The sequence below is a fragment of the Homo sapiens genome, chromosome 20, assembly GCF_000001405.40.
Source record: "Homo sapiens chromosome 20, GRCh38.p14 Primary Assembly".
Lineage (NCBI taxonomy): Eukaryota > Metazoa > Chordata > Mammalia > Primates > Hominidae > Homo > Homo sapiens.
Window position 1 is genome coordinate 17,181,350 of NC_000020.11, and position 18,140 is coordinate 17,199,489.

Genomic DNA, 18,140 nt, shown 5'->3' on the forward strand with positions numbered 1-18,140 from the left:
TTTAAATTCAGGAAATGCAAATAACCCCTGTAAGATACTACACAAGACGACCATCCCCAAGACAAATAGTCCTCAGATCCTCCAAGGTCAAAATGAAAGAAAAATTGTTAAAGGCAGCTAGAGAGAAGGGTTTGGTCACCTATAAAAGGAATCTTATCAGGCTAACAGCAGATCTTTCAGCAGAAACTCTACAAGCTGGAAGAAATTTGGGGCCTATACTCAGTATTTGTAAGGAAAAGAAATTCCAACCAAGAATTTCATATCTAGACAAACTAAGCTTCATAAGGAAAGAGTAATAAAATTCTTTTTAGAAAAGCAAATGCTAAGAGAATTTGTTACCACCTGACTGCCTTACAAGAAGTCCTTAAGGGAGTGCTGAATGTGGAAAGGAATGATTGATACCAGTAACTGCAAAAACATACTTAAATACATATAGCATTGACACCATAAACACACACACACACACACACACAATAAAATCATCCAAATAACCAGCTAAGAACATGAAGACAGGATCAAACCCACACATATCAATATTAACCTTGAACATAAATGGGCTAAATTCCCCCAATTAAAAGGCAAGTTTGATAAAGAAGCAAGACCCAACTGTATGCTCTCTAGAAGAGACTCGTCTCACACATATGGATATGAATGATATCCATAGGTTCAAAGTAAAGAGATGGAGAAAAATCTACCAAGTAAATGGAAATCAAAAAGAAGCAGGGTTTTCTCTTCTAATTTCAGACAAAACAGACTTTAAGCCAATAAGATTGATAAAGACAAAGAAGGGCATTACATAATGGTAAAGAGTTCAATTCAATAAGAAGATCTAACTATCCTAAATATATATCCACCCAACACTACAGCACCCAGATTCAGAAAGCAAATTCTTAAGAGACCTACAAAGAGACTTAGATAACCACATAATAATAGTGAGAGACTTCAGCACTCAACTGATAATACGAGGCAGATCATCAAGGCAGAAAACTGATGAAGATATTCAGGACATGAGCTCAACATTTTACCAAATGAGCCCAACAGATATCTACAGAATTCTCCACCCCAAAACAAAAGAATATACATTCTTCTCATCTGCACATGGCACATACTATAAAATAGACCACACAATCGGCCATAAAACAATCCTCAGCAAACTCCAAAAAACTAAAATCATACCAAACTCACTCTCAGACCACAGTACAACACAAATAGAAATCAATACCAAGAAAATCACTCAAAACCATACAAGTAAATAAAAATTAAACAACCTGCTCCTGAATGACTTTTGGGTAAGCAATAAAATTAAGGTAGAAATCAAGAAATTCTTTGAAATTAATAAGAATAACAATGATACAACATACCAGAATCTCTGGGACACAGATAAAGAATGTTATGAGGAAAGTTCATAGTGCTAAAGGCCCACATCAAAAAGTTAGAAAGGTCTCAATTTAACAACCTAATGTCACATCTAGAGGAACCAGAAAAATAAGAGCAAACCAACTGAAAGCTAGTGAAAGAAAAGAAATAACCAAAATCAAGGCTTAACTGAAGGAAACTGAGATGTCAAAAACCATACAAAAGATCAACAAATCCAGGATATGAATCTTTTAAAGAATAAATAAGATTGACAGGCTGCTAGCTAGACTAATAAAGAATAAAAGAGGCTGGGCATGGTGGCTCATGCATGTAATCCCAGCACTTTGGGAGGCCGAGGTGGGTGGATCACAAGATCAGGAGTTCAAGACCAGTCTAGCCAATATGGTGAAACCCCATCTCTACTAAAAATACAAAAATTAGCTGGACATGGTGGCACATGCCTGTAGTCCCAGCTACTTGGAAGGCTGAGGCAGGAGGATCACTTGAACCCGGGAGGCAGAGGTTGCAGTGTGCCAAGATTGCGCCACTGCACTCCAGCCTGGGTGACAGAGCAAGACTCCTTCTCAAAAACAAACAAACAAACCAACAATAAAAGAGAGAATATCCAAATAAACGCAATCAGAAACAACAAAGGGGACATTACTATTGACACAATAGAAATACAAAAAAAAAAAAAACTTCAGAAACTACTCTGAACACCTCTATGCATGTGAACTGGAAAACCCAGAAAAAATGGATAAATTCCTGGAAACATACAGTCTTCCAAGATTGAACCAGAAAATACTGAATACCCGAACAGACCAATAACAAGTTCTGAAACTGAATCAGTAATAAAAAGCTTGCCAGACAGAAAAAGCCCAGAACCAGACAGATTTACAGCCATATTTTACCAGATATATAAAAAGGAGTTGGTACAATTTCTACTGAAACCATTCCCAAAAATTAAGGAGCGGAGTCTCCTCCTTAACTTATTATATAAGACCAGCATCATCCTGATACCAAAACCTGGCAGAGACACAACAAAAAAAGAAAACTTCAGGCCAATATCCTTGATAAACATAGATGCAAAAATCCTCAAAAAACACTACCGAATCAAATCCAGCAACACATTGAAAAGCTAATCCACCACCATCATGTAGGCTTTATCACTGGGATGCAAGGTTGGTTCAACATATGAAAATCAATAAATGTGATTCACCACATAAACAGAACTATAAACAAAGGCCAATAACCATCTCAATAGATTCAGAAAAAGATTTTGATAAAATTCAACATCCCTTCATACTAAAAATCCTCAGCAAACTAGGCATTGAAGGAACATGCTTCAAAATAATAAGAGCCATCTATGAAAAATCCACAGCCAACATCATACTGAATGGGCAAAATCTGGAAGCATTCCCCTTGAGAACAGGAATAAGACAAGGATGCCCACTCTCACCACTCCTATTTAACATAGTACTGGTAGTCCTAACCAGAGCAACCAGGTAAGAGAAAGAAATAAAAGAAGAAATGAAAAGAATCCAAATAGGAAGGGAGGAAGTCGAACTATCTCTATTTGCATGTGATATGATTCTATACCTAGAAAACCCCATAGTCTGCCTGAAAGCTCCTAGAAGTGATAAACAACTTAAGATTTCAGGATACAAAATCAATGTACAAAAAACAGTAGCATTTCTATACATTAACAACGTTCAAGCTGAGAGCCAAATCAAGAATTTAACCCCATTCACAATAGCCACAAAAAGAATAAAATAACCAGGAATATAGCTAGCCAGGGAGGTTAAAGGTCTCTACAACAAGAACTGCAAAACACTGCTCAAAGAAATCAGAGATCGGGCGTAGTGTCGGGCGCCTGTAGTCCCAGCTACTTGGGAGGCTGAGGCAGGAGAATGGCGTGAACCCGGGAGGCGGAGCTTGCAGTGAGCCGAGATCCCGCCACTGCACTCCAGCCTGGGCGACAGAGCGAGACTCCGTCTCAAAAAAAAAAAAAAAAAAAAAAAAAAAAAAAAAAAAAAAAAATCAGAGATGACAGAAACAAATAAAAAAAATTTCATGCTCATAGATAGGAAGAATCAAGATTTTTAAAATGGCCACATTACCCAAAGCAATTTACAGATTTAGTGCTATTCCTATCAAACTACCAATGACATTCCTCACAGAATTAGAAAAAAAAAACTATTTTAAAAATCACATGGAACCAAAAAAGGCTTGAATAGTTAAGGTAATTCTAAGCCAAAAAAAAAAAAAAAACAAAGCTGGAAGAATCATGTTACCCAACTTCAAACTATCTTACAAGGCTATAGTAATCAAAACAGCATGGTACTGGTGCAAAAACACTCACATAGACCAATGGAAAAGAATAGAGAACCCAGAAATAAACCTGCACACCTACAATCTTCTGATCTTTGTCAAAGTTGACCAAAAAGAACAATGGGGAAATGATTTTCTATTCAACAAATGGTGCTGGAGTAACTGGCTAGCCATATGCAGAAGACTGAAGCTAGACCTCTTCCTTACACCATAAACAAAAACTAACTCAAGATCAATTAAAGACTTAAATGTAAAACCTGAAACTATAAAACCCTGGAAGATAACCTAGGAGCCTAGCAAAGATTTAATGACAAATACACCAAAAGCAATTATGACAAAGACAAAAATTGACAAAGAGGACCTAATTAAACTAAAGAGCTTCTGCACAGTTTAAAAGAAACTACCAAGAAAATAAACAGACAACATACAGAATGGGAGAAAACATTCACAAACTATGCATCTGACAAAGGTCTAATATCCAGTATCTATACGGAACTTAAACAAATTAACAAGCAAAAATCAAACAACCCCATTAAAAAGTGGGCAAAGCACATGAACACACAATTTTCAAAAAAAAGAAAAAAACAGGCTGGATGTGGTGGCTCGTGCCTTCAATCCCAACACTTTGGGAGGCCAGGGTGGGCAGATCACAAGGTCAGGAGTTCCGGACCAGCCTGACCAACATGCTGAAACCCCGTTTCTACTAAAAATACAAAAATTAACCAGGCATGGTGGCATGCACCTGTAATCCCAGCTACTCAGGAGGCTGAGGCAGGAGAATCGCTTGAACTGGGAAAGTGGAGGTTACAGTGAGCCAAGATGATACCACTGCAGTCCAGCCTGGGTGACAAAGCGAGACCCTGTCTCAGAAAAAAAGAAAGAAAAGAAGAAAAGAAAAGAAAGAAAAGAAAGAAACTACCATCAGAGTGAACAGGCAACCTACAGAATGGAAGAAAATGTTTGCAATCTACCCATCTGACAAAGGGCTAATATCCAGAATCTACAAAGAACTTAAATAAATATACAAGAAAAAATCAAACAACCCCATCAAAAAGTGGGCAAAGGATATAAACAGACACTTCTCAAAAGAAGACATTTATGCCGCCAACAGACACATCAAAAAATGCTCATCATCACTGGTCATCAGAGAAATGCAAATCAAAACCACAGTGAGATACCATCTCACACCAGTTAGAATGGCGATCATTAAAAAGTCAGGAAACAACGGGTGCTGGAGAGGATGTGGAGAAATAGGAACACTTTTACACTGTTGGTGGGACTGTAAACTAGTTCAACCATTGTGGAAGTCAGTGTGGCAATTCCTCAGGGATCTAGAACTAGAAATACCATTTGACCCAGCAATCCCATTACTGGGTATATACCCAAAGGATTATAAATCATGCTCCTACAAAGACACATGCACCCCTATGTTTATTGCAGCACTATTCACAATAGTAAAGACTTGGAACCAACTCAAATGTCCATCAATGATAGACTGGATTAAGAAAATGTGGCACATATACACCATGGAATACTATGCAGGCATAAAAAAGGATGTTTCATGTCCTTTGTAGGGATGTGGATGAAGCTGGAAACCATCATTCTGAGCAAACTATCACAAGGACAGAAAACCAAACACTGCATGCTCTCACTCATAGGTGGGAATTGAACAATGAGAACACTTGGACACAGGGCAGGGAACATCACACACTGGAGCCTGTGGTGGGGTGGGGGGAAAGGGGAAGGATAGCATTGGGAGAAATACCTAATGTAAATGACAAGTTAATGGGTGCAGTAAACCAATATGGCACATGTATACATATGTAGCAAACCTGCAAGTACTGCACATGTACCCTAGAACTTAAAGTATAATAATTAAAATAAATAAATAAAAATTAAAAGAACAGAAGTACCACTCAACCCAGCAATCCCATTACTGAGAATATACCCAGAGGAATATAAATCATTCTACCATAAAGACACATGCATGTATGTGTTCATCACAGCACTACACAATAGCAAAGTCAGGGAATCAACCTAAATGCTCATCAAGAGCAGACTGGATAAAGAATATGTGGCACATATACGTCATGGAATACTACACAGCCATAAAAATGAATGAGATCATGATCTTTGCAGAGGCATGGATGGAGCTGGAGGTCATAATCCTAAGTCAACTAACATAGGAACAGGAAATCAAGCACGGCATGTTCTCACTTGTGAGATGGAGCTAAACACTGAGTACACATGAACACAAAGAAGAGAACAACAGACATCTGGATCTACTTGAGGGTGGAGGGTGAGAGGAGGGAGAAGATCAAAAACTACCTATCAGGTACTATGCTTATCACCTTGGTGATTAAATGATCCGTACACCAAACCCCCATGACCCGCAATTTACCTATATAAAAAACCTACCTGCACATGCACCTCTGAACCTAAAATAAAAGTGTTTTTTAAAAAAATGAATCTGGTGCTCCCCTCCGCAGCACATATACTAAAATTGGAACGTTACAGAGAAGATTAGCATGGCCCCTGCGCAAGGATGACATGCAAATTCGTGAAGCGTTCCATATTTTTGACACCACCTGCAGCCTCTGTAAACTTTAAAGGGCCTGCAGAGAATGCCATGCTTCTGGAAGATGATTGGTGGTCTTGTCTTCAGATGAAAAGTATTTGTGTTGTGATAAGGGTGTTGGGGTAAGGGACTCTGTGTGCTGTGCTTTTCTCTAGCCAAGTGGTACTATAATGAGTCTAGGAGGAGAAACATCAGCATTAACAGGAGACTTGCTATAAGAAGCTAATTCATGGACTCTTTTCAAACCTGCAAAATTTTATTACAGTGAGGCCTAGAATATCAAATAATTTATATGCACATTGAAGCTTGAGAGGCAGAGCTTAGCTAAGTGACTCTCAGCCCAGTCTTCCAATAGGATCACATGGACAATTTGAAGATAAATCATCACCTGTGCCCTCCCCACAAATCCTGTTTATTGTTCTGGGTGGAAACACTTCTGTTTTTTAAATTAAGCTCCTCGCATATTACAGTGAGGCCAAGGTCAAGCATGAGGACTTCCAGATACTTTAATGAGAGGAACTATTAACATTCAAGGACGTGGCCATAGAATTCTCTGCAGAAGAGTGGAAATACCTGGACCGTGCCCAGAAGAATTGATATAGAGATGTGACGTTGCAGAACTACAGAAACCTGGGTGTTACTGTCTGTAACCCAGACCTGGTCACCTGTCTGGAGCAAAGAAAAGAGCCCTACAATGTGAAGATATATGAGACAGTAGCCAAACCCCCAGGTAGGTGACAGTGAATGAAATAGAGGACACAGGCAAGGGGACTAAGGTCAAGGAGGAAGCCAGGCCTTAAAATGTAGTTTGGGAAGCTCTGCTCCAATGAAAATAATTTCTGAAAAGGCTGCATTTTTTTCTCATATACACCAATGGGGCATCTTCTGTCTCATGCTGTTAAATCTTCTAAGTATCCTCTTTTTTCTTTAGTGATCTCCCTTCAAGGTTACAGGGAAAACCAATGTCCGCTTTACCATTTGTAAGGGGCTGCATGATCTGACTGTGGTTCCATTGCTTTTGGAGACACAGGAATATTTGTATATTGAGGAGCTCTATGTCGAAGTATTTTTTTTCAAATATTCGTTTTGGATGATGTCTAAAATGTGTAAGGTGAGTAGTGGACATATTGGAATTTGGTTCAGAAATCCCGGGAACACTAGGGACAGATGTTGTACCTCTTCTGCTTTGTGATTTTTACTCCTATAGAGGTTACAAATATAATTCTACAAAAATTCTTACTCGGCAATTTTATCAGAACAATAAACGTTTTTCTAAATATTAAAAAATGTACTGTTATTTCAAAATGTTATTGTTTTAGTATAAACTGAGATTTGTGATTTAAACTCTGTAGGTGCAAATTCTCAAATTAAATATAGTATAAAGCACAGGTTTCCAATGTTTTGGCTTCCCTGGGCCACATTGGAAGAAGAATTGTCTTGAGCCACACATAAAATACACTAACACTAATAATAGCTGATAAGCTTAAAACGAAGTTTCATGAATAATTTTTGTGATATACGCCACCATAGATAAGCAAAAAAGTCCTTGCATTCAAAGGGTTGGTCACCGGTTTAAAGTATCTACTCACCTTCTAGATTTCTTAAGTGCAGTATGTCATTAACCAGCTTAGAACATTGCTAAGTGTATATTATGCTCTCAATCATTACCGTATTTCTTAATAACTATTATCTTATAATTTTGTCTTATTTAGTAGGAAGCCTAACTGAGATTCTGTCATCGAGATATATCTATCTATATCTGTATAAAAATGGCTGTCACACACACACCTATATGTTATATATGTGTATAGTAAATTCTTAACATTGTTGATAGATTCTTGGAAACTGTAAGTGAAGCAATATATAATTAAAGAAAACTAATTTTAGGGCTGGGCACGGTGGCTTACGCCTGTAATCCCAGCACTTTGGGAGGCCAAGGTGGGCGGATCAGGAGGTCAGGAGTTCAAGACCAGCCTGGCCAACATGGCAAAGTCCTGTCTCTACTAAAAATACAAAAAATTAGCCGGGCATGGTGGTGGGCACCTGTAATCCAGCTACTCGGGAGGCTGATGCAGAAGAATCACTTGAACCCCGATACTGACATAGTAGTTAAAGTGTTTGCAGAAAAGAATGCAGGGAATAGTTTAATTACAACTTCAGCAGGGGGGTAGAGGTTGTAGTGAGCCGAGATCGCACCATTGCACTCCAGTCTGGGTGACGAGTGAAACTCTGCCTCAAAAAAAAAAAAAAAAAAAAAAAAAAGAAAGAAAAAAGTAAACTAGTTTTACCAGCGTTTAATTGATACAAACAAGAGTTACGTTTAGTGTATAGCAATATTGTTTCATTTAAAGTTGCAGTTTTCAAGAACCTCTTTTGAACATTAGGTGAGGACTTACTGGACATCTGTGTTTGTGTGATATGATTTTTCTGATAAATAAAAGTTGCATAACTATACAAAAAAAAGTAAATCTGGTTCATGTGTCCACTGAGTCTCCTGGCTCCAGGCCAGAGGTGAAGGACATTGTGGGAACTGTAGCCTTGGAACCCCACAACAGAAGCCCCACACTACACTGTAACACCCATCTCCTGCTCCTGTCTGTCTTCCATGTGAGGTTAAAACACAACTGGGGGGCCTGTTAGTGGGGGCAACTAAAAGACACCCCACTAGAACCAGGGAATAAGACTTCCATTGAAGGGCTCAGGAGGAAGACATATCAGGACAATGCAGGGCACTTGCGATGGAAATGAATAAAAACCATCACGTTTTTGCCAAAATGGTTATGTAGATGCAAAGTTACAGTTGGGCTGGTGACCCAGAACAAGCACAGCTGCAGGATGTCTCAGGAATCCTCTAAGCTTCCCATCACAGAAACCGTGAAATCTCTGAAGCCGTCCAGGGAGTGAAAAATAAGCTGGCACATAGGGTCACGAGCACCCAGCATCAAAGACAGGAATTGTGTTCAGAACAGCAGCAGACGCACTGCCCCCTTCTTCCCACAGATCCAAACATGAGAGAGGAGATGTAAAGAATTTTATCTGACATATCCCTTTCCTGTGATTATTCACAAATTTTGCCACATTTGCATGCTGTGTGCAGCACTCTTAAAGTATTTGCATCTTTGTTTATTCATTTCTTTAAACCTTTTTAAATGCACCACCAGCAGGTCTTCCAGTTCTAAAAAATAAAATAAAGTCAGTGAAGTAGATGCCAGTGGCAGGCAAGAGCAGAAAGGCCAGAGAGGCCAGCTTTTCTCTCATCATATTCGTGGTAGAAGAAGTTCCTGTCAATCAACATTGTGATAGCATCAGTCTTAAGCATTGCCTCAGACACCAGAGGCTCCACACAGAGATATCCAGGTGTTGCAGGACCTGTGCAGGCTGAAAAACCTTCAGAGCTCATAAGCAGAAAGTCGTCTACCCTTCTAGTTATTCTAGATGGGCCCCCATCTCAGGGGGAGCCCCAGCAGCAGAAAGCCTTATTAAAATTAAAATTAGCTAAGAAGGAAACAAAAGATAAACTTTTCCTCCTTCTTCCTCTTTAAAGCAGAATGAGTTATCCACTGGATTCGGAATGGTACAGCTCCCAAGGAACTGTGTGACAGGAAGGTCTGCCTGTGGCCGGCTGAGGGAGGAGGAAGAAAGCAATGAGAAAAGCTAGATCGAGACCACAGATGCTGCAGCTGAGGCTCATCCAGTCAAGTCTCAGACCTAGCAAGAGCAACTTCCCACAGTAACATTTTTAATCCCTGGCAGCACTTCACATTGAGCTAGTAACTCTTCCTTTAAGAGATTATATAGGTTTTGATAAAGATGTGAGGAATGTGAGCTGGAGGGCTTTGGACACCTGGAATAAAAGCTGCAGGCAAGATGGGAAACTCTACAACTTGTAATCTGAAAATAGTCCTAGTGATGTGTTCCTACATGTACATGTGCATATATGGAGAGTGCCTTTTCTCCACTCTGTATCTTGCATAAACAAGAACTGATTGAGTTGGAGAGTACTTTTCAATTACAATCCATTCCATTTAAGAATTCTGAGCTGTCGGGCCTTCTTTTCTTTTAATGGAGCAAAGATAAGTCATATCCTTTCACAGGAAGATGAAGAAAAAAGTGTGAAGATAACATCAAAGCATAATAAAATGTCCAAAGCACTGATACATCTACACATTCAATCTTGCAGACTTTGATTATTAGGAAAAATGATCAAGGTAACAGAGAAACGAAGAAACTTACTAAGTGTTTCTCATAGGTACAGATTCCTTCTTATCTAGCTGTATTACCAGACACAATGCAATTTGCTTTTATTTACTGATCTCTCTTTTAAGCATCACACGTTAAAACTGCAAGAGGTAAAGATGAAATAACAGGTACTGGATTTATTTTTCTGCTTAAAACAACCCCCAAAAGGTAAAATTTGTTGAACAATGATTTTCAAAATATTGGACATCAGGCAATGAAGGACAGTGACCCCTGAGAGATGAGGGAAAAAAAAGTCACCTCTACAATAACCTCAGCTACTACCTTGAGAGAGTTCCCATCCTTGGCAGAGTAATAAAGAACCAAGGTAGAGGCCAGCAGACTTCCTCAGTTTAAAGGATGGAGTTGAGGGCCTGGGAAGGACAAGGCAACAGAGTTCTCAGGACAGAGTACCAAAGAGGAGAGAGATCTGCAGAGGGTCTCACTCAAATATTCAGCAAAGTACCAATAAGCACATACATGAGATTTCCTGAGGCCAGGGAAAGAAGCATTCCAAAAGGTGTAAAGGGAAAAGGACTCAAGGCCAGGAATAGTGCCTTTCCCCCAGCCAGACGTTCCAGTCTCATAATTTATAACTACCTCATAATTTATGTGTTTTCTGTTCACAAAGAAATAAATTAGAAATCAATAAGAGAAAGATATTGAGAAAAATAAGTATTTGGAATCTAAATAATAAAGAAAATCAATGATAATAAAATTAGAAATCAATAAGAGAAAGATATTGATAAAATACTTAAATATTTGGAATCTAAACAATAAAGAAAATCATTCTGTAGTGTGCTCAGGAGGATTTTGCATTGGTCATGGAGAAAAATTAACTGTTCTTGTCTTGCCTAACAAATTTTAAAAGTAAGATGCAAAAGAATAAAAGTATTTCCAAGTAAATGAACTGCATCCTAGAAAAAACAGCTCAAGAAAATGTGTAGAAATAAAAAATACCTATCATAAAACCAGATAATGCCTGACATCCAATCAATGATAACAAGCCATGGATAAATCGTGGAAAATATAATCTATAACAAAGAGAGAAAAATCAATCAATTGAAAGTGACCCAGACCTGACCCAATGCTAAAATTAGCATTTGAGAACAACAAAACAATTATTATAATGGTATTTCATATGTTCAGAGATGAAGTAAAGACATAGAAATTTTTTTTAACCCCAGTCCAATTTTCTGGGGACAAAAACTATAATATCTGAGATAAAAAATACACTGGATGGAATTAATGGCAGATTAGACCTTGCAGAAGAAAAGACTGATAAACTTGAAAACATAGCAATAGAAGCTATCCAAAATAAAAGAAAGAAAAAATCAATTTTCTCATATTCTGTTGGGTAGAAGCAAGTCATAAGTTTCACCTGCACTCATAGGATGGCATCATACAAGGGCATGACAATGGGGGTCTCCTTGGGTGGGTCAATCACACCATTTAAAAAAACAGATGTGGGCCGGGCATGGTGGCTCACGCCTGTAATCCCAGCACTTTGGGAGGCAGAGGTGGGCGGACCATGAGGTCAGGAGATCGAGACCATCCTGGCTAACACGGTGAAACCTGTCTCTACTAAAAATACAAAAAATTAGCCAGGCGTGGTGGCAGGCACCTGTAGTCCCAGCTGTTTGGGAGGCTGAGGCAGGAGAATGGCGTGAACCCGGGAGGCGGAGCTTGCAGTGAGCAGAGATCGTGCCACCGCACTCCAGCCTGGACGACAGAGCGAGACTCCGTCTCAAAAAAACAAAACAAAACAAACAAACAAAAAAACAGATGTGGCCTGATTAATATAAGACAAAGTAGATCTCAAAGCCAAGAATATTATCAGAGATAAAAATGGTCAGGTCATAATGTCAAGAGGATCAATTAGTCAAAGAGATATGACAATCCTATACATTTATGCACTTGCTTTTCGTCATATTTATTGACATATAATTTAAATACAGTAAAATTCACCTGTTGGTATACAGTTTTATGAGTTTTGACAAATGCATAACATCATATAACATAACTATCACCACAATGGAGATTTTTAAAAGTTCATGACCCCATAAATTCCCTTGTACCCCTCTGTAATCAGCTCCTTTCCCCACACCAGTCCCTGGAACCAGTAATCTGGTTTCTGTTCTTACACTTTTGCTTTCTCCAGGGGTGCAATATAAACGAAATCACACATTATGGAGCCTTTTTTGTCTAGCTCTTTTCACTTAGCATGATGATTTGAGATATAGCCAAGCTGTTTCATGCATCAGTAGTTCATTCCTTTTTATTTTTCATTCATTCTTTCTTTCTTTCTGCCATATCCACTTAAGACCTCTCCTACTACAATAGCAAGTGAAAGCAGAAAATGTGAACATCCATGTTCTGATCTTCATCTTGAAAGGAAAATTTCCAGGCCTTCACCAGACAGGCTGATGTCTGCTGTAGGTTTTTGGTATAGATACGTCTCTAACTGATTAAAGAAGTTTCCTCTATTGCTACTTTGGAAAGTGTTTTTGTTTGTTTGTTTGTTTTTAATCATGAATACTTGATGTATAAAAGACTTTAAAATGAGTAAAAGGATTAGTGGGATCCTGACTTCCTTATTCATCTGGGTTAATCTCCACCTTTCCTCATCTTTGAGTTATTTCACAATTCTGAAGTTGTAGAAAACTGATAATAATGTGAATCGTTTTTACCCATGAAATACAAATTGAGTTCCAGGGAATGTAACTGATTATTGCCCTGGGAATGTAAGTGATATTGGCCAGTTTTGCATTTGGTTGTAAATTTATTTCAGTATTTTTCATTTAACTATAAATGTGTTTGAACTAGTTGTAGCATGTTACCAGATCCTCAATAATTAGTGAGTTAAATTTTTGACAGGTGCTCATTTTTATCTGTATAAGGATCATTTTATCCTTTTTTAAAATTATTCCTTAACAGGACATTTAAACAGTGCTTGGCCAGTAATAAATAATAAATATTAGCTCTTACTACATTAATTGTATTAATATTTAAAATGACTCTTGAGTCACACTTTAAGTTCATCTGGGGAAGGTGTGCTCTGAGGATACACTCAAGTGTCCAGTCATCTCAAGTGTTCATCCAGTCATTACTGAGCACTTCCCAGGAATAAGACAGTGCTCACTGTTAGAAATACAAGAAAATAATCATTTCTCTCCCCATTTTCTCTTCCACTGTGTGGAATGCTGGTTCCTGAAAATATCTCCAAAACAATCTGTTGAAAAGATAAACCTCAGTTTATCCTTCTGCAGTAAGTGAAAGCACTACTTTGAGAGTCATACTAGCACTTCACAGAGGGGCAGGGCAAAATAGGGATACTTAGGAGATTTTGAAGTCTGGTTTAAGGTGTGTCTTTCAATGGGGTTGGTGGTTGTAGGCTTGGTTAGGAATGGGCAATAATCATGTCAAAATCACTTAGGATTCATGAATTTGTGATGATGTGTTCAAAGACTTGGGGTATAAACTGTAAGGTGGTGCTTTCTACTGAAGAGGTGATAGATCTTTCAGGAAGTTTCTGGAATGACCAATCAAGTTATTTGCAACTTCCTGGGCAAGAGTTGCCTAGAAGAGTGATGGCATATTGTTGAAGATAGTGGAATAGTGAAGCTGCATTGAGGTAGACATTAAGCTGTATGGGTAAGGACAGTTCGGGTCTCAGATGCCATCTTTCTTCTGTACTTCTCATCAAGCATCTACATTTATTGTCTTATTTTGATTGTTATATTTCTGGTGCAAGTGTCTAAATAATAATATAATGACATGAACAATAACAACAACTACAGCAAATGTTGTGTGTATTTTAGGCTTACTTGAGTCACGTCCCATCCTAATCTTTCAGAAATAACCTCTGTAATTCCAAAAGCAGCCCTATAGGATAGGACTCATTATCTCCACTTTATAGATGAGGAAATTGGGGTTCAAAGAGGGTAACTTGTGAGTCCTGCCCCCCAGGCCACTTACATCCTCAAGGCAATTGCCAATCCTGAAAACAGAGCTGATGATCCGAAATGCACTACTGACAACCTCATCAGGTTAGGAGAATGCATGCCAAGGTCCTGGGCCTGTCAAGGTAACCCCCCTGGTTTCGGTCTAAGATTCCAGGAGTCAGGGTGAAATGAAAGTAAACTAGCTCTGACATAGACTGCAGACTGCTATAACTCTTCTGGGTAATCCAGGAAATTCCAGACCCTAAAGCTGGATTAAGATTATCCCTGATTACTAGTACCTATAGGTACCTAGAAAAATCCATGGAAAATCTTTGGAGAAAAAAATAAGTTCTATACTGTAAGTTATTTCTACAAATAATTTTTAAAATGCAATATCCAGCACATAGTCAAAGACAGATAAACAAATACACAAAAAGACAAGACACTATAAGTAAAGATCAGCAGAAACAATAAACAGGAATAAGCAAAAATACATGAAAATTGAAGAAAGCGATCAATGTGTGGGTAATTCTAAGTAACAATTGACTGTATAAGACAGTAATGATGATAATATTATTTGTAATAATATTATGTACATCATAAAGAATCAAGTGAGAGCAATGAAACTGTCCTTCAACTCTAGAGTTACATGTTGAATCATATGGTAGATACTACAGGACCAAGGGGCAGCCAGCCACGGTCCATGAGCCACGTCTGGCCTGTGGCCTGCTCTTTTTTATGTCAAGCAAGCTAAGAGTGTGTGTGTTTTTTTACATTTTTCAAGGCTTATTTTACAAAAAAGAAAGAAAAATATGTGATAGACTTTATATGTTCTGTAAAGACATATGCATTTACTTTCTGGTCCTTTACAGAGAAAGTGTGGCCCTTGCTATGGAGAAATGACAATGAATGAACTGCAGTGACACACAACAACAACATGGATGGACCTTCAACACATATCACTGAGCCAAAAAGAGCAAGATCAAAAGAAAAATCTCTAATATGATTCCACTGGCATAAGTTTTGAAAGCAGACAAAATTATAGTTTGAGGATCCACTCTTTGGTGGTGAAACTATAAAAGAAAACAAGGAAATGGTTACCATAAATATCAGGAGAATGGCACATCTAGGTGAGAGAAGGGAATGTAATTGGGGAAGGGGCAGGTGGAGAAGTGAGCTTTAGAGTAGTGGCAATGATCTATGTTTTAATCTGCATGGCTGTTACTTCAGTGCTTACAATAATTTGTTAAAATGTATATTTATATTTTGTGCATTCTTTCTGTATCTGTATTCCATTTCAAAATAAGAGGGGTTTAAAAGGTAAACTTTATACAATTATTTTTTAAAGTGGAGGAAAAGAGGGAAGGAAGGAGGGAAGAAGGGAAGGAGGGAGGGCAGGAGGGGAGGAGGGGGGAAGTACTGTAAAATTTGGTCCACCAGGCAAGATCTATGTTCTTCATCTAAGTGAAAAGTAAAAGATGTTAAGCAATATTTTCAACGACCTCTTGATTTGATAGGTAATTTTACAAGAACTGACTGCCCATTTGTATGTTTTTAAAGCACTTGGCTTAAAGAAAAGGTCAACGTTCTTACTGTGAATAAAATATTTATGAAAGTAGCTGTGGCTTTTCTTTCTTTGTTTCCCCACCTGTGCCCAGACACCCCACCTTGCAATGTGTTAATGACCTACCTTGCCCATGCTGGTCTTAGTGCCTTTCAGGGGTATTTTCACCACATCCTCTCTCAAAGAATTGAGCCTTTTTTCCACGGTTGTCAAGGCTTTCATTCTTTTTCTATCTCCTCTTTTTCTCTGAAAATATTCCACTTACCTTTTCTTCCCTAACAGGTGGTAAGTATAGTGAATGACAATTTTTTAGAACATGTGTCACAAAAATTGTGGAGCTGCCATATTGCACAGCTCCAGCAGGAGCATTCACATCATGGCAACTTCCTCTAGTTGTGGAGTGCCCAGACCATATAAAACAGGCAGCAGCCTGGCCAGCACTGCTTGAAGGAGTTGGGATTCAGATTTCTACGGGTTTAGGGTAAAAGGGAATGGGTTAAGTCCATTGCATAGAGGATTCAAGTTAAACAACAAATTAACTTCTTGCTCTAAAAAGAAGGAGCAGGGCATTTGCAGTGCTGTTCATAATGCAAAGCTACATCTGATTCGTGTATCTCCTAAACTTCCATATAGATTGTTGGAGTTGATTTTCACACTTAAATCTAATAGCAGTAACCACAGTAACTTACGTTTACATAAACTGCATTAGATCTAGGTTTAGGTTGAGACTCTGACTCTTACTGATGTGTGAGCTTCAGCAAGTTGCTTAACCTCCTTGAGCCTCATATTCTTCATCCTGGAAAAAAAGTGATGATGATAATGATAAGGGTAAGTACCTATCATACAGAATGAAGTGAGAAATACACTTAATGCACAGTGCCTGGAACATTAGATAATGTTCTTATTATTTGTTCTCTGACCATTCCTGCTTCCCTCCGAAAATATGTCCTGCAATCATCCAGTCCTCCAGTTCAGACCCCAGGAGTGACCCTCTGCACCTTCTAATCCCTCAGACTCCCCACACCCATCTCTGCCCTATCCACCAAGTCCCATCCAAGAACCTTAATTCCCACATATTTGTATTAGCTCTCCTCAGACTCTCCCAAACCTCTTGTGGGACACTTACCGCCTTTACTGTCCCCTCTATTTACTCATCCATTGATTCATTCCTTCCCCCACTGTTATATTGAGTGCAGAGTAGCTGGAGAAGACTTCTTGGAAAAGGTGACATCTGAGCACCTGGGTCAGCTGAAGGAACAAGCATGGAGATTTCCAGAGAAAAACTATTCTAGGAAGAGAAAATGATGTGCACAAAGGCCCTGAGACAGATGAGTTTGAGGACCAGAAAGGAAGCAGAGAATCCTTGTTGAGTACTAGGAGATGTGGTTCTATGTAACAGGCCTTCTCTGGGTTCCATGAGGAGCCATTGACAGGTTTGAGCAGAAGTGTGACATTTTTGGAGCATCACACTCTGGAGGCAAGATTGAAAGCAAAAAGACAAGGTAAAAGAGCATTGCATGGGTCCAGGTAGTGAAGACTAGGATGGTAACAGGTGGTCATTCTAAGACACGATTCTGATCAGGTCACTCTCCCTACCTGGCCCATGCACACACCACACATACACACACTTAAAACCAGCCAGAATTTTCCCTCGCCTGTGGAATAAAGTCCAGACTCTGGACCCCTCTCCCAACTCGTGTCCTACATGCAGTCATGATTCTGTGCCTTCACACCTCTGTTCCCTCCCCCTGGAATGCTCTTCCCTCCCTTGTCTTTCCACTTATTCTTCAAAACTCTACTCTTATTTGAGCTCCCCTTAGAAGCCATCCTTGATCCCATTCTCTCTGCTCTTCCCAAAAGACTGAACTGCTTTCTCCTCTGAGCTGTCTTTGCCCTCTGTGCCATAAAACTATTATCACAATTATCACTGTGTCCTGTAATAAGCCACCTTCATTTCCAACCTTTCATCCTGTAGGTTGTGAGCATTCTTATGTGAAGTATTCCCAGATTTTAAGTTTTTCTATCTTGGGCCCTTTGCACAATAACTGGCGTAGGGTATGTGTTGAACTTGTAACTAATTTAATGCCATTGTAAGTAGAATCTTCTTTCTGGTTAATTTTTTCAAGTAAAG

At 38.8% G+C, this 18,140-nt stretch overlaps 1 long non-coding RNA gene and 1 pseudogene across 1 annotated transcript in view; both read left to right on the top strand.

Annotated features, from left to right (window-relative positions):
* The window catches only part of LOC105372544 (uncharacterized), a 74,761-nt gene extending 59,172 nt beyond the window's left edge, over positions 1-15,589 (top strand). Inside the window, exon 4 of the long non-coding RNA XR_937289.1 lies at positions 15,318-15,589. This is a non-coding gene — a long non-coding RNA (uncharacterized LOC105372544). The remainder of the gene's footprint in view (positions 1-15,317) is intronic.
* RNU6-27P (RNA, U6 small nuclear 27, pseudogene) lies at positions 6,161-6,266 on the top strand (annotated as a pseudogene).
* Positions 15,590-18,140: the final 2,551 nt, after the last annotated feature.